Source organism: Homo sapiens, chromosome 7, assembly GCF_000001405.40.
Source record: "Homo sapiens chromosome 7, GRCh38.p14 Primary Assembly".
NCBI classification, from domain to species: domain Eukaryota; kingdom Metazoa; phylum Chordata; class Mammalia; order Primates; family Hominidae; genus Homo; species Homo sapiens.
In genome coordinates, this window is record NC_000007.14 from 133,174,822 (window position 1) to 133,196,707 (window position 21,886).

The 21,886-nt window shown below is 44.1% G+C and overlaps 1 annotated feature.

The window, feature by feature from the left end:
- Window positions 7,780-8,739: an enhancer, noted in NCBI's record as "H3K4me1 hESC enhancer chr7:132867359-132868318 (GRCh37/hg19 assembly coordinates)". NCBI's record gives its function as "activates a minimal SCP1, AML or CMV promoter by ChIP-STARR-seq in primed H9 embryonic stem cells {active_cell/tissue: H9 hESC(primed)}" and the evidence as "EXISTENCE:reporter gene assay evidence [ECO:0000049][PMID:30033119]".

A 21,886-nucleotide genomic window follows, 5' to 3' on the forward strand; every position in this document is an offset into this window, starting at 1 on the left:
TTTTTTGAGACGGAATCTTGCTCTTTTCCCCAGGCTGGAGTGCAGTAGCACAATTTCGGCTCACTGCCACCTCTACCTCCCAGATTCAAGCAATTCTTCTACCTCAGCCTCCCAAGTAGCTGGGATTACAGGTGCACGCCACCATGCCCGGCTGATTTTTGTATTTTTAGAAGAGACAGGGTTTTACCATGTTGCCCAGGCTAGTCTCGAACTCCTGAACTCAGGTGATCCGCCTGGCTCAGCCTCCCAAAGTGCTGGGATTACAGGCATAAGCCACTGTGCCCGGCCAATGACAGGATTTTTAAGACACTAAATGCCACAGGAAGTGAGGGTTAAGAAAAGGGCTAAAAGTTGAGAGATTTATTAGAAGTCTATATGAGGAGCAGAGAATACCCCACCCTCTCCTGAGCGGCCAGGTGACTACCCCTCACATAATCTATACCAAGAAGAATTAAACCAGTGGAGCTCCAGACTCGGGAACCCCAGCCCAGTGAAAGGCAGGTAATAGGCACAAGGCTAAAAAAGATCAAGTGTAAAGTGAATAGTGAGACCCTCCCTGCATGCTCAGCTTCCAGAACACAGGGAACCAGCCTTATCGCCATGGCCGCCTCCTTTTCCCACCACCCTCTACCCAAAGAGAGCAAATTGTAGAATTCTTCTCCAGAATAACTGAATATCCAAGAGAAATACCTAGAGATACAGATAGTTGTGAACTCTACCAATAAAAATCAAGCAGCCTGCTACTCCACTCATCTACAATGAAACCAACAAGCTCAACCGTACAAATGGAATTTTCAATCAGCTCTTTGATGGCTCCTTTTTAAATATGAACTGACAACCAGGGATCACTTGACATTTAAGAAAAAATTTTCCAATATAAAAGACTCTAAAACACACACAAATGTGTGCATATGTATGCACACACAGAAAAAAAGGAACTACGAAGAAACAAAGACAAGGTAGGTAGCAAAAAAATATTTTCAAAAATTAAATCTAATTGATATTCTTAGAAATAATGAAAATATTAGCTCAATAGGAAAAGATCGGGAACTATATAAAGAATAATAAGAGAAATGGAGCTCTTAAAAATTACAGATGTGGGTGCGGTGGCTCACAACTGTAATCCCAACACTTTGGGAGGTTGAGGCAGGAGGATTGCTGGAGCCCAGGAGTTCAAGACCAGCCTGGGCAACATAGGGAGACCTTATCTCTACAAAAATTTTTTAAAAGTTAGCTGGGTATGGTGGTGCATGTCTCTGGGTCCAGGTTCTTGGGAGGCTGAGGCAGGAGGATTGCTTGAGCCCAGGAGGTCAAGACTGCAGTGATCTGTGATTGTACCACTGCACTCCAGCCTGGGCAGCAGAACGAGACCCTGTCTCAAAAAAATTTTTTAAATATTAAAACAAAAACTTTTAAATGTTTTTTCAATGAAGGGGTAGAAGAAAGAGTTTAAGAAATCTCCCACACTGGCTGGGTCCAAGATCCTGTAATACATGGCTCATGCCTATAATCCCAGCTCTTTAGGAGGCCAAGACAGGGGGATCCCTAGAGCTCAGGAGTTCAAGACTAGCCTGGGCAACAGGGTGAGACCCCATCTCTACTTAAAAAAAAAAAAAAGCCTGGCATGGTGGTGTGCACCTGTGGTCCCAGCTACTCTGGAGACTGAGGTGGGAGTATCACTTGATCCCAGGAAGCAGAGGTTGCAGTGAGATGAGATCACGCCACTGCACTCCAGCCTAGGTGACTGACAGAGCAAGACCCTGTCTCCAAAAAAAAAAAAAAAAAAAAGAAAGAAAGAAAAGAAAAGAAATCTCCCACAGAGTATAACAAAGAAACAAGGAGATAAACCTTAGGAGAAACTTAGAGGTTCAAACCAAGAGATTCAACATCTGATTAATGAATATTCCAGAGAGAACAAGGAAAGTAAGTCATGGAGGGGAAATTATCAAAGAAATAATTCAAGAAAAGTATAGAACATGAGTCTCCAGATTAAAAGAGCCCTAAAATGTTGGTACAAAGAATAAAAAGCACCCCCACCAACGGACATCATTGTAACATTTCAATACATCAGAAAGAAAGACCTTGTGCAGCTCTCCCTCTCCCTCTCCCTCTCCCCCTCCCCCTCCCCCTTCCCACGTTCTCCCTCTCCCTCTCTTTCCACGGTCTCCCTCTCCCTCTCTTTTCACGGTCTCCCTCTGATGCCGAGCCAAAGCTGGACTGTGGTGCTGCCATCTTTGCTCACTGCAACCTCCCTGCCTGATTCTCCTGCCTCAGCCTGCCGAGTGCCTGCAATTGCAGGCGCGCGCCGCCACACCTGACTGGTTTTCGTATTTTTTTGGTGGAGACGGGGTTTCGCTGTGTTGGCCGGGCTGGTCTCCAGCTCCTAACCGCGAGTGATCCGCCAGCCTCGGCCTCCCGAGGTGCCGGGATGGCAGACGGAGTCTCGTTCACTCAGTGCTCAATGGTGCCCAGGCTGGAGTGCAGTGGCGTGATCTCGGCTCACTACAACCTCCACCTCCCAGCCGCCTGCCTTGGCCCCCCAAAGTGCCGAGATTGCAGCCTCTGCCCAGCCGCCACTCCATCTGGGAAGTGAGGAGCGTCTCTGCCTGGCCGCCCATCGTCTGGGATGTGAGGAGCCCCTCTGCCTGGCTGCCCAGTCTGGAAAGTGAGGAGCGTCTCTGCCCGGCCGCCATCCCATCTAGGAAGTGAGGAGCGTCTCTGCCCGGCAGCCCATCATCTGAGATGTGGGGAGCGCCTCTGCCCCGCCGCCCCGTCTGAGAAGTGAGGAGCCCCTCCGCCCAGCAGCCGCCCCGTCCGAGAAGTGAGGAGCCCCTCCGCCCGGCAGCCACCCCATCTGGGAAGTGAGGAGCATCTCCGCCCGGCAGCCGCCCCGTCCTGGAGGGAGGTGGGGGGGTCAGCCCCCCACCCGGCCAGCCGCCCCATCCGGGAGGTGAGGGGCACCTCTGCCCGGCCACCACCCCGTCTGGGAGGTGTACCCAATAGCTCATTGAGAATGGGCCATGATGACAATGGCAGTTTTGTGGGATAGAAAAGGGGGAAAGGTGGGGAAAAGATTGAGAAATCAGATGGTTGCTGTGTCTGTGTAGAAAGAAGTAGACATGGGAGACCTTTCATTTTGTTCTGTACTAAGAAAAATTCTTCTGCCTTGGGATCCTGTTGATCTATGACCTTACCCCCAACCCTGTGCTCTCTGAAACATGTGCTGTGTCCACTCAGGGTTAAATGGATTAAGGGCGGTGCAAGATGTGCTTTGTTAAACAGATGCTTGAAGGCAGCATGCTCGTTAAGAGTCATCACCACTCCCTAATCTCAAGTACCCAGGGACACAAACACTGCGGAAGGCCGCAGGGTCCTCTGCCTAGGAAAACCAGAGACCTTTGTTCACTTGTTTATCTGCTGACCTTCCCTCCACTATTGTCCTATGACCCTGCCAAATCCCCCTCTGCGAGAAACACCCAAGAATGATCAATTAAAAAAATAAAATAAAATAAAAAATAAAAAATAAAAAATAAATAAATAATAAAAAGAAAGACCTTGTGCAGATCAGAATGGCATCAGTGGTCAGAATGGAACTGGACTTCTTAAAAGCATTATTGGAAATTAAAAGATAGGTGGGAAAATGTCTTTACAATTCTAAGGAAAACCATAATCTACCTATATCGAGCCAAACTACCAACGATGAGAGTAAAATAAAGACATTTGCCTGTAGAAAAGAACCTACACATATTACTCCTCATTACCATTTTCAGGAAGCTACTATAAAATGTACTCCACAGAAAGGATTAAAACAAGAACAAAAAAAAGATAGGGAGCAGGAAATTGGGGGTCAAACAGGGGAGAGAGAGAGATAAAGAGAATTATTAGAATGATGGCAAAGGCCAGGTAGCCCAGAGAGCAGCAAGTCCAGAGAGCAACTGTCAAGTTGGAGCAAGAGAATGGGAGGTTCAAGGGGAAAGAATAAACTGATTGATTATCTGATGAGTGTTATGGCATGAAAAACAGCATAGAAAACTGGATTGAAAGGTTGTTGGAAGAAAAATTAGATATTTAGCACCCCCCCACCAAAAAAAATAAAAACAGAAAATGAAAAATATAAGGCAATCATTAACACCAGGGGAATAAAATGTCCAAGAAAGGAAACAACCATAGTATACTACTTGGCAGATGAATGAACAAACTTTGCACAGTCATAATAATGTAATGTAAATACGAATGTACATTCAACCTTAAACTGTGGTTCAACCATACTGGGAGTCTGGAGGGAGGGGGAAGGGGTATGTAAGAAACCTAGATATTTTCACATAATATGAAATCAATAGAAAATATCAGAATGGATAAACTGAACATTAACGGTAGGAGCACATGATGTAGAAATGTGGAAACCAGAAGAAAGAAATAAAAGGGTTGAAAGTGAAGGAGCTGGCATGTGGGAAATCAAGAAATAGTGGGACAGGGGACTGTGTTTTTTAGTTATAAGGTTTATAGCCCTGTTTGATTTTTAAAAATTGTCTACCTGTGATAATTTGATGAAAGCACTCATTTAAAAATAATAACGGGATTATATGATATGATCTTTAAATGTTTTTCTTAGCTATAAAAGACACTATTGGCTGGGTGCAGTGTCTCACACCTACAATCCTAGCACTTTGGGAGGCTGAGGCAAGAGGATGACTTGAGTTCAGGAGCTTGAGAACAACCTGGGCAACATGGCAAGACCCCATTTCTACTAAAAATACGAAGAAAAATTAGCTGAACATGGTGGTGCACACCTGTGGTCCCAGCTACTCAGGAGGCTGAAGTGGGAGGATTGCTTGAGCCCAGGAGGTGGAGGTTGCAGTGAGCCAAGATTATACTACTGCACTGCAGCCTGAGTGACACAGCAAGACCCTGTCTCCTATAAAAAATAAAAACTTTGTTCTAAAAAAAAAGGGCACTATTGAAAATTTCAAAGGAAAGAAACCTCTTGAAATAGGGAAGTATGAAAAGTAACTAACAGGTTAAAGAAATAAATGCTTTTTTCTGCATATGCTTCTTTTTTTTCTGCTCTTATGCTAATTCCATAAACTTTGGACTAGAGAAGGAAATGTGTGTACAGTAGCTGTAGACTGGAAAAGAAAATGTTTGTGTGATTAGAACCTACATCTGAACTTGGCCTAGGTTAACTTCCTGAAGAGTAATTTGAAAGAACACAAACAGAAGAACTACTCAGCAATAAAAGGGAACACATTTCTGATACCTGCCACAACATGGATGAATCTTCAATGAATTAGGCTAAGGGAAAGAAGCCAGCTCCATAAGCCTGTATAATGCGTGATTCTATTTATATGACATTCTAGAAAAGGCAGAACTATAGGGATAGGAAACAGATCAGTGGTTGCCAGGGACTGGAGGTAGGGTATGGGGTTGACTCTGAAGGGGCTCTGGAAAAAGTTTTTGAGGTGATGGAATAAGTCTATTTCTCAGTTGTGCTGGGGGTGGAACAACTGTACTTTTGTCAACCTATGGAACTGTATGCTAAAAGGGATGAATTTTATTTTACGTACATTATCTCTCAGAGAGAGAGAGAGAAAGGAAGGATATGGTTTCCAAAGTAGTTTTAGCTTTACAGATTGTCAAATGAAACTAAAAAATATCCCACATCCTTGGGCCTCTTCTCACTGTACTGGGTGTATCATGAAGACCCATAAGACCTTCTTTCCCAGATGTACCAGTAGGGATAGGAAGCCCCAAAGTGCTGTGCACTAGTCTATATTAGCTTCATGATCAACACAGTTTTTCTCAGAATTTTCTAAAAGCCAAATGTTAAACAATAAAAAATCTCTATGGTAGATTTTGAAAACAGCTGTAATTATTCCTCTCCTTGAACCCACATTACTTTGCAGTATGCTTTTGCAACTCCTTCCCTCAAGAGGAAGAGTCTAGCTCTCCACCCTTTGACTTCGGACTGACTTTGTGAATTGTATCACCAGCCAAATACGGTGGAGGTAACTTTGTGCCAGTTCTGAGCATAGGCCTCGAGAGACCTTGTGGGCTTTCATGAGTTCACTTAGAGCCCAGACTAGCTACCATGTGAAAGATCCCAAGCTGGTCTCTATGAGAGAAGTCTGGCCCAGTCACCCTTGTCACCACAGCTAATAGCTTGCCAACTTCCAGACATGTGAGTGAGGCCATCCTACACCAGGAACCTCCAGCAAATCCACTGGCTGACCCCAGACACATTAGCACCCAGTCAAGTTCAGCCAAGCTCGAGCCAGATGAGCTGAGTTATCCAGCCGATCCATAGAAACAGAAACAATAATAAATGGTTGTTGTTTTAAGTCACTAAGCTTTGAAGTACTTTGTCATGCAGCAGAACCTAAGTGATACAACATAAAAAAGAACACACTTTTGTAAAAACGTAAAAGGGGGGGCAGGAAACAGCTCACCTAGGTGTCTTTCTACTACTAGATATTTTTGACCAGGGATAAGTCATAAAATAATGACTTCTTAAAGTTGCATAAAATAGCATATTGCATTGTGAAAAAATATCAATTTTGCTTGCAGGAATTTACTCTGTAGGTATACTCACATCGGTGTGCGTATTATTAACTAAGTGAGTCCTGATCAGCCTAAATAAAGTTTTATTGGAACACAGCCTCAGCTATTCATCTACATATTCTCTACAACTGCTTTCACACTACCATGGTAGACTTTAATAATCTTGACAGAGTGTGTGTGGTGCGCAACGTCTAAAAGAGTTACTATCTGGTCCTTTACAGAAAAAGTTTGCTGAGCCCCTGGTCTAAGCCAGTGGATCTGGAACTTTAGCGTGCATCAGAACTACTTGAAGGACCTGTTAAGACACAGATTGCTGCCATCTACCTTCAGCGTTTCTGATTCAGTCAGTCTGGCTAGGGCTGAAAATTTTGCTTTTCTACTTCGGTCTCATGACCCTCAAATTGCCCTGTGGAGGCAACTGCCTGTTCTATGACCTCTGTAAGCTAGTTACACAGGCTCCTCAATCCACACCTAGGTGCAATTTAGAGAAGAGTTCAAAACAGCATTGCTGTGCCTTCCATGCCCTGAGCATTCTGCTGAGCTGTAGGGTTGAGCTCACAGCTCCCACTTTGTCTTTTAAGTGAGACATTTCATCTTTCCTCCCAGGCATTTGGAGGGAGAGCCACAGAACCTGGAAAAGAATGTTAAGAACTGGATTCAAGTTTCTACTGCACTGTGTGCTTGTGTAAGTCAGTTTACCCCTGATACTATGGAGATAATAAAATACCCTTCCAGGCCAGGCACGGTGGCTCACGCCTGTAATCCCAGCACTTTGGGAGGCCCGAGCCGGGCGGATCACCTGAAGTCGGGCATTCGAGACCAGCCTGACCAACATGGTGAAACCTCGTCTCTACTAAAAATACAAAATTAGCCGGGCGTGGTGGCACATGCCTGTAATCCCAGCTACTCAGGAGGCTGAGGCAGGAGAATCACTTGAACAGGGGAGGCAGAGGTTGTGGTGAGCTGAGATCGCGCCACTGCACTCCAGCCTGGGCAACAAGAACGAAACTCTGTTTCAAAAAAAAAAAAAAAAAAAAAACAAAAAAACCTCTTCCCTACTTTACATGACTATTGTGAGAATTAAATAGGAAATTTTATGCAAACTACTTCATCAGTGTTAACATTTCATAAAGTTAAATTATGTATTATCATTAGTAGTCTATTGTATTGTTGTAACATTGTTATTATCGGTAACCCCAGTAGTTCCAAGTGGAAGTTGCTATCAGCAGAGAAAAAGGCTTTGCCCAGAAAGAATAAACATTAATGAAATCCATCCCTGATTAAAAGGAAGGCCTTTCACGCATTATGTAGCTTCAGACATTATTCTGCATTCAAAGGTAAATATTTATCTTCATCCTTGGCAGAAGAGAAGAGCGTTCAGGACATGTGAGTGGTGTTGATGGATCCGAGTTGTCCGTCCTGGGAGCTCAAAGCAAACCCTTCCTGTATCCCCGTCCAGAGCATCTCCTCAATCTTTGGGTTCCATTTTCAGCCTCCAAGGCCATGCCAGCCTCTGAGCACCTCCAGGTGCTCCAGTGATGTCTGCTGAATTGCCCCAAGAGGACTCAAGGCACCAACACCTGCCCACACAGTAATGCTCAGGAAATGCCTGCCAGCCAGCTCCAGGCTACAAAAAGTCATTAGCTGCTCGTGACCCCTGGCATGGCTGCCACAGGCTGGATTGAAAGTTGATGCAGATTGTAGCAACCCGGCATTACGGTCCCCACTAGCCGCCCAGCTCCCCAGACATGCCTGAGCTGACGTTTGCTGGCTGGCTGATCTCCTGAATGTCTTTGCTGCAACCTCAGCTCCGTGCTTCTCGGGGAGGTTAGCCAGAGGTGGAGGCCTGCCTATTTGCTTCATGTTTGCTCTTTAGCTGTTATTTCAAGGTCATCTTAACTCACTGGCAGCCAGGTCCCAGATTACCCATCAGCCTGGCGTATGCGTCTGGTGTCCTGATTTGAAGCATGGTGCCTATAACTGCTTTCCCTTGCCACACTCCCCGATTTACTAATTCCAGTGTTTGTGGCCTCCCAGCAATTCCTTATGCCCAGCTCACTCAGAACTCAGGTGAACCTCCATGAGAGCTCTGGGCTGGTGCCAAGAAATTCAAATCCCAACAACACATGGCAAGAAGGCTCAGAGCCCGCCAGCTCTGTTAGGTAGCCTTAGGGGAAGAGCTGTTGTCTAGTCCACAGGGAGGTGGAGTCTCCTGATCCAGCCTTCTTAGGAAGTTCTGTGCCTCCAGAAGTTAGACTGCATATGGCTTCACCCTGAGAGGCACTAACAAGTTTGTACTGATGATGCCAGAGCACTCAGTCAGCTTCTGATTGATAGTGTGTGATCTTCCCTTGGAATGAGGGAGTCAGAGGGCTGGATCTGGTCTTTCTTCTGCCACCAGTTTACTCTGGGGTCTCCCATAAGTCACATCACCTCTCTAGATCTTGGTTGCTTTCTCTAAAAAAAAAAATGAAGGAGGAATTTGCATTAAGATTTCTAAGACTTCTTTGAGTACCAAGGTTTTATGATTCCTTTGAACTCTAGGGATGCCATTTCTACCCCCTCCCCCAAATATATACACACTCATAAAGAATGCAAACAATTTTTAATATGAATACAAGCAAAATGTAATAAAGAAGGCAAATTTGCTGCCCCAAATTTGCATAATGTATTCTCAAGCCAAGCAGAAATGGCATTTGAGTTGTGTGCTGTTTTGAATTATCTGCACCACTGCACCCCTGCATTTGTGCAGATAATTGGAAGGTGGCTATATATGGGGCAGATATACAGTTGTCCCATATGGGTCACACCACAATAGCATTTCTCAGAGTTGGGGTTAATGTGATTAACTCAGTTGGTGGAGTCCAAGGAAGACCATGAGTCAGATCTCTGCGGTTTGATATACAGAAAATTCTCTTTTCAGATGTCCATAAATATACCCCTGATTATAAAAGGAATAAAGAGGGTAAGAAAACGCATGTGTTAACTAAATTCTGAATCAGTAGACTCTTGCATCCGTAAATTTTGGTTTGTGATCAAAGTGACTACAAAGGCAGGTAACATAATTTGTCACTTTATTGAGGCATGAGCTTGAATCACCTGTGGTAGGTGACAGGTGACAAGAAAAAGAGTTACAGAGGGTGATGACACCAACCCAGTTTCAAGATAGTCATGCAGCAACTCAGCCTTGTCCTCATAGACAGCAACACATGCAAACACTGTAAAGAAGTGTTGCACTTGGACACTTTAATAAAGCTTAAAAGGCTATAAGCTTGTCTATGAAGATATGCAAAGGAAATACGTGATTTGGAATGCAACTCTGAAGAAAGCTTGGACTCTGTCCAAATGCTCCCATCCACTTGAATTCAGAAATGTGAACAGGTTCTCGTGGTGAAGGTCTCAGGGACTACAGAGGTAGACACAAGAAGCTGTCTTAGGAGCTTGAAAGGGGTGGTTTTAGGACAAATACAACAAATTACTACTCGACAAAGCAGGTAGTAAAGAAATGAAACATGTTGCCCCTGCAGGCAATACAGGCTGAAAATAGAAATAGGTTCAAAAATTGCTTTGGATAAATTCAAGACCTATAAATCTACAACAGAGGTTTCCTTTGTAATAGGAAAGCTAGGTCTACTTGACACTTGACAGAATAGCTGTGCTTGATACAAATCGTCGTTTTTGCCACTCTCAGAACCATGGCTGCTACTACTGCCCTTTGCTTTTTGAGTGCAAGGGACTTCCTAAGAACTGTACGTGCATTCTCTTGTTTAATCCTCACAGGTACACTGTATCAGGTATGATGGTTCCCATTTCAGAAAAGAAGAAATTGAGTATTGCACAAAGCTCCTGGGTTGACTGCTCAGCTCTCACAGTCTCTCCCCCATGCGACCACATCTGGATCTTGTGATCCTGCTCTCCTCCCCCCATTGCCAACTGATACATGGACAAACCCCTGACCCAACCCAAGGTGAGTCAGTCACATTCTGTCTCCAAGAAATGTGAAGTGAGAGTGCACAGATGTGGGGCTGTGCCCACTGATGGCAGAAATCCAGATGAAGAACATGTCCCTGGAGAAACTGTAACCCTCGTACCTTGATGGTGGGAATGGGAAATGGTGCAGCCACTGTGGCAAACAATTTGCTGGTTCTTGAAAAAGCTAAACACAGAACTACCACATGACCCAGCCATTCCACTACTATGTATGCACCCAAAATAATGGAAAAGAAGGACTTAGATACTTACACACTAACGTTCATGACAGCATTATTTACAATAGCCCAAAGCTGGAAACAAGCCAAGTATCCACCAACAGAAGAATACATGAATAAATGTGGCCTATCTAGACAATGGAATATTATTTGGCTATGAAAAGGAATGAAATTCTGACACATGCTACAACATGGATGAACCTTTGAAACATTATACTAAGTGAAATCAGCTAGACACAAAAAGATAGGTAATGTATGATTCCATTTATGTGAAATATCTAGAATAGGCAAATTCATAGAGACAGAAAGTAGGTTAGAAATTACCAGGGAGTGGGAGAAAAGAAGGAATATGGGAAATTATTGCTTAATGGTGACAGAGTTTCTGTTTAGGATGATTTTTAAAGTTTTAGGGAAAGATGGTGGTGATGGTTATACAACATTGTAAATGTAATTCATGCCACTGAATTGTACACTTACAAGTGGTTACACTGGCAACATTTTATATTATGTTTACCCCATTAAAAAAGTAAACAAAGACCAAGTGTTCTACTGCTAGCTCCCCAGTGCAGCCCTGCCTGCCTAGGCTCTTCACTTGGCTGTTTAATTGAAATGACTCAGTATTATGAGAATAAGTTTCCTTCTGTTATTTAACTAGCCAGACTCAGTGATGTTACTGGTGACCACTAAACTGAAATCATATATGAAGGTTTCAGGTTTCAGAAGGAACTTGCCTAAAGTCTCACAGCTTCAGAGTATCAGAACTGGGATATAAGCCCACAAGCCCGTAAATGTCTGGCCTCAGACAGATCTCAGAGCCATGACTTTAACCACAGTGTCACTGCACAGTGTCAGAAAACTGATGTTGGACTGTGTAGGGTCTGCAAGCATTCACTCATGCCATCTTCATCTTCCAGAATGCAAATATCCCAAGAGCATGAAAAATGAATTCATTCATTCATCCATCAAGCCAGTTTCCCAGACAACCAGTCAATGGCTAAGTATTTGTTGGGTATATAACAGTGCACAGAATATTCAAAGAGAGAGAGAGAAGGAGGAGGAGGAGAGGAAGAGTGAGAAGAAGGAGGAGGAGGAAAAAGGAAGGAAGGAAAAGAAAGGGAACCCCACACTCTATAACCTTGTGATCCATTTGGGGGCCAAGTGCCATATGGGTTAAATACCTAAACAATTAGGCCGTGTGATCAAGCCTTGCACTTCAAAGCCTCTGAGGGGAAGGAGATTGAATAAAAAGAAAAGAAAAATCTGTATGTTGTGAATTGGCTTCAGCAATAAAAGAAGTTCTTCCTGGTGGACAGTCTGGGCCTGGCGGAGATAATGATTTCCAATTGGTTTAGCAGCTCAACAACCTTAATTACAGTCCCCAAATCCACTACCAAGATTTAACCCCTAGGCTGGGCACAGTGACTCACGACTATAATCCCAGCACTTTGGGAGGACGAGGTGGGCGGATCACTTAAGGCCAGGAGTTTGAGATCAGCCTGGCCAATGTGGCAAAACCCAATCTCTACTTTAAAAATACAAAAATTAGCCAGGCATGGTGGTGCACCTCTGTAGTCCCAGCTACTCAGGAGGCTGAGACACAAGAATCTCTTGAACCCAGGAGGCGGAGGTTGCGGTGAGCTGGGATCACGCCATTGCACTCCAGCCTGGGCAACAGAGCAGACTCTGTCTCAAATAAAAAAGATATCACCATTTAACCCTTTATGTTATTCCTCAAAAGCCACCAGACACCCCTCTGTTTCATCGTTTTTGATGTTACTCCTCATGTCACTGGTTCACTAGATTTTATTGTGAAATGTTTGCCCAGTTAGGATTTGGGGGAGGGGTGTTCAGTGTTCAAATCAAGAATAGGCCTGCCTTTACTTAGGCACAAACTTCTTTTATAGTCAGAAATCTGACTAGTCACAGATGGTTTTAAGAAGAGTAGTCCTGCATTTCATTGTTTATTTAATCAAAGGAAAATCTCACAAAATTCCTATCACTGTGAACCACCTTCAAACCCAGTCTCCTCTCTGACTTAACACTTTGGCTGAGCCTGATTTATCAGGTCAGGCAGTGTAGCAATTAGCCATGTTAATCACAAAAGCGTGTCTTAAATTTAATCTGATATGTTCTACCCATGAATACACACAAGGAAACACCCTTGTATATGGATCTAGGAAGAAGTAACAACCATTACACCTGACTTGCTAATGTATCTCCTTTGGCCTGTGTGGCAGACACTATTGATAGATTATGCAGACACCTTTCTCAGACATCTCTTCCTTGACCCCTCCCACTATACAGGGCCCTCTTGCAACTAAGAGGGGCCTCATGATCCAGTTTGGGTCTTTGAGATGTAAATGAAAGACTGTTGGGTTAGGGTGAGGGGAAATTCTAAAAAAGAGCTTGCTTTCCTGATAAAAAGGGACACGGCCCCTTCCTCATGCCATGAAGGTGAACATGACTGGGAGTATGGTCATAGCCACATGCAGTGAAAGGCTTAAGGATGAAAGCCAATAACCGAAGGTTGTAGAACGCAGATATTTAAAGAACTGGGACCTGAGTCAATACCAGATCCATTGCTTTTGGACTTCTTCCTCTTCCTTTTAAATATTTTTACTGAACTATAATATGCATGCAGAAAAGACGCCTACCATAAATGCACAGCTCAGTGAAATCTCACAAACTGCACACACCAAGGTAAGCAGAACTCAGATCAAGAAAGAGAATACGGCCAACACCCCAGTGTCCCCCTAATGTGGTCTCTTGCAGTCTTTACTTCCACAAGGACAGCCCCTTCCTGCTTCTAAAATCATTGATGAGTTTGGCCTGATTTTTGTCCTTTATATAAGTGGAAGTGTAGGGTGTGTATTTTTGTGTGTCTGGCTTTATTTGCTCAATACAATGCTAGTGAGATTCTTCCATACTGGTGTGGATAGTTGTGGTTTATTCATTGTCTTTACTTTATCCCATATGTAACCCATGTGTGTATATATCACAATTTGCTTATCCATTCTACCTGTGATGAGCATTTGTGTGTTATCCAGTTTTTGGTTATCAATAGACATTCTTTTTTTTTTTTTTTTTTTTTGAGATGGAGTCTTGCTCTGTCACCCAGGCTGGAGTGCAGTGGCGTGATCTCTGCTCACTGCAAGCTCCGCCTCCCAGGTTTATGCCATTCTCCTGCCTCACCCTCCCGAGTAGCTGAGACTACAGGCGCCCGCCACCATGCCCAGCTTTTTTTTGTATTTTCAGTAGAGACAGTGTTTCACCATGTTAGCCAGGATGGTCTTGATCTCCTGACCTCGTGATCTGCCCACCTCGGCCTCCCAAAGTGCTGGTATTACAAGCATGAGCCACTGTGCCCGGCCCAATAGACATTCTTAAACAGTCTGATGATAAACACATGTGCACTTTTCTGTTGGGTATATACCTAGGAGTGGGATTACTGGGTCATAGGATATGCACTGCCAAGCAGTTTTCCAAAGTGGTTATGTCAGAAATCTCTTTATGCAAAAAATATAAATATATATATATATATATATTTGTTTAAGCCACTGTAAGGTAGGTTTTCAATAACTTGAAGCTGAATGCATTCCTAACCAATATACCCTTCTTGGTGATTTAATTTTTTTTTTCAATTAGCTCAAACACATACAATCAGGACACTTAACATGAAAAAGTGCATTTCTAGCTTATCCTGAAATATTAGAAGAGCTTACAAGATAGCACACATTCCTGGATGAAAACAATTGTCTGAATTTAGAAATAATAATTGCCAGCATTTATACCATTCCTACCATGTGCCAGAAACCATTCTGGATGCTTTATATATATTGACCCATTTAGTACTCACAATAACCTTAGAAGGCAGGTGCTAGTGATGAGCCCATTTTACAGATGGGAGACTGAGGTGCAGAGAGATCACATATTTAGACCATGATCACACAGTGAGAAATAGCAGAAGCAGGATTTGAACTCAGTCTGTCTGGTTCCAGGATCTGTGCTGTTAGCCACTGCACACCACCAGTAGCAGGGCCATGCATGCTCCAGTTCACCACAGTCTCCATCAATCTCCATCGTCTGCCACCTGGTGCTGTCCTCATTTATGTCAACCCGCTAGGTTTCTGTAGTCATCCAAATTTGCAACCTCAGCATTACATATTTAATGAGGAAAAGAAAGCCCAGCATATAAATTTAGGATTTTTGCCATAATCTCCCAGGATACTTTTCATGCCACCAAATTGCTGACCCCTGGAACTCAAAGCAAATTCCATACATTTATCCACGTGCAAGAATTTTGTAATTCTTACTATCACCCATCACAGTAAATTTCCCACCTCCCAACTTCCTGTGGATTTTAAAAAAAAAACTGTGTATTTGACGGCAGTAGTTTCACAAGTAATTTGTGTTTTCATATGTTGAAGTCAGCAATGTTTTGCAGGTTAGAGGCCCTGTAGGCCTGTTAGCTCAAAGATGCTTGTAGAATAGTGCAAAGGGAAGCATTAAGAGACATGGGAGGCCAGGTGGGGTTGCTCACACCTGTAATCCCAGCACTTTGGGAGGCCAAGGTGGAAGGATCACTTGAGCCCAGGAGTCCAAGATTAGCCTGGGCAATATAGTGAGACCCTGTCTCTACATAATAATAAATTTAAAAATTATCTGGGTGTGGTTATGTACACCTGAGGTCCTAGCTACTTGAAGGAATACTGAGGTGCGAGGATTCTTCAGCCCTGGAGGTCCAAGGCTACAGTGAGCCATGTTCATGCCGCTGTACTTCAGCCTGGGCAACAGTGCAAGATCCTATCTCAAAAGAAGAGAGAGAGATACAGGAATGGGCAGCAGAATGGTGCAGAATGCTGTGATGTAAGTGAAGGAAAGTAGAAGTAACCAGAATCTGAGAAAATGGACTGAGCAGACCCCAGAAGCATCTTGAAAGCAGGAAACCAATGTTGAAGGGAATATTTTCACTTAGGTCAAAAGCTCTGAGCAGAGAAAGGAGGGCAGGGAATGAGGAGCACACCATTTAGATTGACAAGCAACTGAGAAACTCATTTTCCAATGGAAACTGTAGGTAAGAGAAGTTGTTCCTGAAAAGCAGAGACAAGGGCCTTAAGTTTCTAGGGATGCAGAGAAAGGAAAAAAAAAAAAAGAGGAGAAAGGCTATGTGGTGGACATTGATTGCTTTTGCTTACCCAGGACTTATTTCCCCTTCTTGGTTATAACACTACACCCAGTCAGTGTCATTCTGAGAGAACTGACCCCACCCATGGCTCCAGAAATTGGTATGTGGCCCAAGCATGGCCAGTCAGAAGATTCCATTCTGCTGGCTACACTGATTGGTTGGGAGTGCGATCTAAGCCAGGTGATATAATTCAGTCCTGTGATTTGCACTGGAATTACTAGGACAGGTAAACTCTTGCAGATATTTCTAGCTATTAATAAAAGAATGGTAGATGCTTGAAGCTGCTGGGAGCTCCTATAAGGAGAACAACTTGAAAATGATGCTAATACAGATGAGAGAGAAGAAAATGGAATTCTATTGATTTGACATGGTTCAAGCCTCTGGACCCAGCCATACCCAAAACTCTGGACTTTTCCGTCGTGAGAACCAATGGGTTTCTTTTTGTGCTAAACTCAGTTTGAGTTAGAGTTCTGTTGCTTGCAACAACAAAAAATATCTTTATTTGTTCATTTATACTTAGATTGTAATCTAAAACTGTAAGGCTAAGCCATGATAAAATATAAGCTCTTAAAAATTAAGAGACAAAGAAAAAGAGAGACATAGCTAGTACAGAAAAAAAGGAGAGAGGGCGTGTCTAAGTATGTGTACCCCAGAACTGTCCAGAGAAAAGTGGAATTGGGAAAGAAAACTAGAAGAGCTGCTGGTACCTTGTTGGTATGTGAAAGCAGGTTGGGCTAGATGAGCCATGGTGTTTGCACCCTGCTCATGTCCCCACACACTGGAGGGCCGAGTCTGTGTGATTTGGAAAATGTGTCTGAGAAAGAGCACCAGGGAGAGTGAATGCAAATGGCTCTGGACGTAAGATCTCATGCTTTAGACACAAGAGCTTTGCGACTCTGGAAGATAGTGAACACATTTCTGTTGGTTTCAGGCCAGCAATCTTCTGGGTTTGGGGAGGGTGGCGGATGGGGGTTGGGCCTTCCGTGGCTGCCAGAAGTCACAGGTGGACTCCAAGTTGAGCTGATTTACCAGTTGCTGCTAGTAGAAGTCCAGTCAGTGGGAGAATGCTGGGGCTGGGGCTCAGTTATGCAGTCAATTAGCTGGCGTAACAGAAACTTTATTCCCATTGAACAACTCCCCATTTCCACGTTCTCCCAGCCCCTGGCAATCATAATTCTACTCTCCGTTTCCATGTGTTTGATTATTTTAGATATGTTATGTAAGTGGAATCACATGGTAAATGCCCTTCTGTGACTGGCTTATTTCACTTAGTATAACATCCTCCAGATGTATCCATGTTGTCACATATGGCAGGATTTCCTTCTTTTTTATGCTCGGGCCCATTTAGCCAATGACTTTTCTTCAGATTTCTTTTACTTTTCTATCATTTTTCTCTTCTCACCTTCTCCTTCCTTTGAGCTGAATTTCTTCCTACTCCGTTTTTCTTTTTACATTTTTTCAATCTTCTCTTCCTTGAGAGTTCAAAATAACTTCAGATTGTCATTAATCATTTGTTATTTAATTGGGTTTTCACTAATATCTGTGGATTAAGCCCACATCCTTCTCTTGGAATTTCTGGTAGAGTAGTGAAGGTGTATGTAATTCTACTGTTTCCATGTGTTTGATTATTTTAGACATGTTGTCATAGGATCCTTGGGGAATCACTTGGCCAGCTGGAAACCTCTGTTGCTGGTGGCACCTTTGCCCAAGTTTTGCTTGGGCAATTCTAACCTGAGCCCCAAACTAAAATTCTGTGGACTAGGACAGATTACCTGTCAACATTTTGTTAATGTCCAGCTCCTAAATCAAGATAAGTTTCTCAAGTGTTACAGATAGTGTTAATTTCATCACCAGGGCTATCCTTAAGTGGGCACTGATTTCCACGACTGAATCATTTTTTTTTAATTGTGATAAAAACACTAAACATGAGATTTACTATCTTAAATTTTTAAGACAGTATAGCACCGGTTTTAAACTATAGGCAAAATGTTATACAGCAGATCTCTTAGAACTTAATCAGTTTGCATAACTGAAACTTTATTCCCATTGAACGACTCCCCATCTTCCCATCGCCCCAGCGTCTGGCAACCACAATTCTACTGTTTCCATGTGTTTGATTATTTTAGACATGTTGTCACAGGATCCTTGGGGAATCACTTGGCCAGCTGGAAACCTCTGTGGCTGGTCGCCCCTTTGCCCAAGTTTTGCTTGGGCCCACTGGGCTTGTTCTGCCCAGTAGGCCTAGCAGGCAGCTCTCAGCTTGCACTACCAGCCTGGATCTCATACCTGCCAAGAGTGAGCCAGGGGCAGAGTGGCGAGGAGTGTGTGAGCAAGCAAGCACAGGGTCCAGACACTGTGCACAGCCAGGCACACCTGCTGCCACTGGGTGGACAGCTCCAGGTGCCAGCATGGGTGATGGCTCCCTGCGAGGCTGCTGCTGGACCAGGTATACTGCAAGCAGCTTCCACTGTGGGCATTCCAGAAGCTTGGAGATGCCAGGAACTACAGAGCCCCAAAGAGGGTGTCACAGCTCTGGCTCATGGAGCTCCTACATCTGGACTCCCTGAAGAGCCACAGCTCTTCTTGCTTTCTGTCTTCTCTCTTCTCTCTTTCTCATCACTCACAACATGGTGAGTCAGGGGGCATGTTTCAGTCATGTTTATGTTACAGCCCTTTCAGTCCTGCCATTTGGTAGTTCTCAAGTTCTTGTCCTGTGTCCAGGAAGAATGAAGTAAGAATGGGTCTTCCTGGACAACTGGAGGGAGAGCAAGCTGAAGAGGTGCTTTACTGAGAGACAGTACAGCTCTCAGGAGACCCGAAGTGCATAGCTCCTTTCCACAGGCAGGTTGTCCCAGTGAGTGCAGCTCTCAGGGGAGAGAAGACCAGGAATTGGTAACTTCTATCCACAGGCAGGTCATCCTGTCATCTGAACCCTCAGAAGAGAGGTGACCCAGAGTGGGTAGCTCTTATCTGCAGGCAAGTTGTCCCATTGTCTGCCCAAGTCTGGCTGAGTCTGGGGGTTTTATGGGTTTCGGAGTGGAGGAAGTGCCTGCTGACTGTTCTGTGGGCAGCCAAGGGCGGGCCAAGAAAAAGCACTATAAGTTCTCACTGCAGTCTGTGGAACTAGCAGCCCAGCCCCCATGCTTCAGTCCATCCTGGCTTGAAGATGGAGCTTCACCAGGGACTGCCCCTTTCCACCCAGGAGCCTGTCTGCCTCCTGCCACCAACAACCTGCCATCCATGGTGCCCACAGTGCCCAGGCTGTTTGTGCCAAGGGATGCCTGCAGGCTTGTGCCAACCTGCCCTCAGCACCCCCTCGGGGTCCCTCCCATGCTTGTCAGCACCCAAACTCCAGAGGGGGCCAAGGTGGCAGGGAGCTGGCATGTTAGCACCGCCCTGAGTGGGTGCATAGCCGGCCGTGTTGCAGCAGCATCCAGGCTCTGCCACAAATTTGCTCCAAAGTTGGGGTGGGTGCTGGAAGTGGGGAGAGGCCAGGCAGTAGGAGCAGCCACTTCTGAGCCTGTTGGGGGAGAGAAAGTTCCCAGGTTCCCAAAAACCCAGGAATGCCTGGGCCACAGCCACAGCTGAGTGGCTACAGCTGCGCCTGGGAGGGTGGGGCAGGAGCCCTGCCAACTCAAAAGAGGGAAGGGCTCCCACCTGTTCCTGGCTCCTGCAGGCTCTATGGAGCCACAGCCCTGGCTGGGCCTCCCCCGCTGCAGCCAGTATTTTCACAGTGGCTGCTCCAGATGGGTCACTGCTGCCATCAATGTCATGTAAGTGGAATCACATGGTCATTACCTTTCTGTGACCAGCTTATTTCACTCAGCATAACGTCCTCAGGTTTATCCATGTTGTTGCATATGGCAGGATTTTCTTCTTTTTTTATGGCTGAATAATATTCCATTGTGTGTATGTGATGGTTAATATTAAGTGTTAACTTGACTGGATTGAGGGATGCCTAGGTGGCTGGTAAAGTATTGTTTCTGGGCATGAGGGTATTGCCAGAGGAGATTGAGATTTGAATCAGTGAACTGGAAGAGGAAGACCCATCCTCAATGTGTGTGCACCATCCAATTGGCTGCCAGTGCAGCTGAAACGAAGCCAGTAATGGAAAGGGGACTAGGCTTGCTCACTGAGTCTTCTAGCTCTCTCTTTTTTCCCATGCCAGATGCTTGCTTCTTCTCCTCCTGCCCTTAGACACCAGACTCCAGGTATTTTGGCCTTTGAACTCTGGGACTTAAACCAGCAGCTTCTCAAGGGCTCTTAGGCCTTCAGCAGCAGACTGACAGCTGCATTGTAGCTTTCATCTGCTGCATCGTAGCTTCCCTGGTTTAAGTTTTGGAACTTGGACTACTGGCTTCTCTCTCTCTCCAGCTTGCAGATGGCCTATCTGTGCGAGCCAATTCTCCGTAATAAACTCTCTTTCATATATACATATATGCTACTGGTTCTGTCCCTCTGGAGAACCCTGACTAATACATATAATGTATACCACATTTTCTTTATCGGTTCATCTGTCAATGGACATTTAGGTTGTTTCCACATCTAGCTGTTGTGACTAGTGCTGCAATGGACATGGAGGTGCAAATATCCTTTGAGATCCTTTGAGATATGTGTGTATATATGTGTGTGTGTGTGTGTGTGTGTGTATATATATATATATATATACACATATACACATACATATAAAAAGAGGTTGAGAATATGGGGTGCCATTTTTTTCTCATTTTAATCCAAAAGTTTCAGGAGAACACTTTTCCTTGTATGCTTTTTCTTTATCTGACTCAGGTAAACCTTATTAATTCCATTTTCGATTGGTGCTCATTATCACAACTGAAGGCGATATTAGGAGACTCCTTCTACTCTAGTAAAATATTTAAGGATCCTCTTGATAGTTATATGTCAGTGTAAGTATTGACACACCAAAAGTGTTTGGAAGCAATTAAAAGATCTTTCCAACATATACACATTAAGTTATCTATTCTCCATTTTCACTGGCTTCCTCAAAAATCATAGCTAAATTTGAGTCAGCTATTTCTTTTGCGGTCTCTTTTCCTCCTCCCTCCCTCCCTCATTCTCTTAGCCTCTCTCTTTCTTTTTCTTTCAACATTTATTGAAGGTGCATTGTGTGTCAGTATTGTCGATTCTGAAATGACACTAAAATGTCCCTTACAGTTAAGTTACAGCCACTCTTGTTCCCTTTTAATCTAATACACTGAGAGAATAGTTTTTAATTTCATTGCTGGAAATTTCCTTAGCTTCTGATTTCCCCAGGGGATTGGTGTTAAGCAAGAAAAAAAAATTACTCCTTTTTTCCTTCATCTTAGTGAGTTTGAGGGCTGATATACCTCATTGAAGTTTGCTATTAACATTAAGTTAGTTAATTATGGCAAGCACATACTCGACACGCTGTGATGATGGAAGAGAAACAGAATAGTCCATCAGTCAGAGGAGCCTCTAAACGATTTTGCCATAATCTAGGGATATTGAAATTGATAGGTCTCAGCCCATCAACCAACCAAATATAGAACCCAGCTCTTATTGAGGGACAGGATCTGGAGTTTTAGGCATGTTAAAATCCACAGGCTCCATCAACCAACAAAACGTAGAACACAGCTCTTACTGAGGGACAGGATCTGGAGTTTTAGGCATGTTAAAATCCACAGGCTCTATCAACCAACGAAATATAGAACCCAGCTCTTACCGAGGGACAGGGTCTGGAGTTTTAGGCATGTTAAAATCCACAGGCTCTGGGGTTGGTTGCCACATGTCACACTTGAACACAGAATTATTTCCGTATCCCTCTCTTGTACCTCCCATGCATGTCATGGAACAAACTTCCCCATATTCACTATCCCCAACCTTTTTGGCACCAGGGACCAGTTTCCTGGACGATAACTTTTCCACAGACTTGGGAAGGATGGTTTCGGGATGA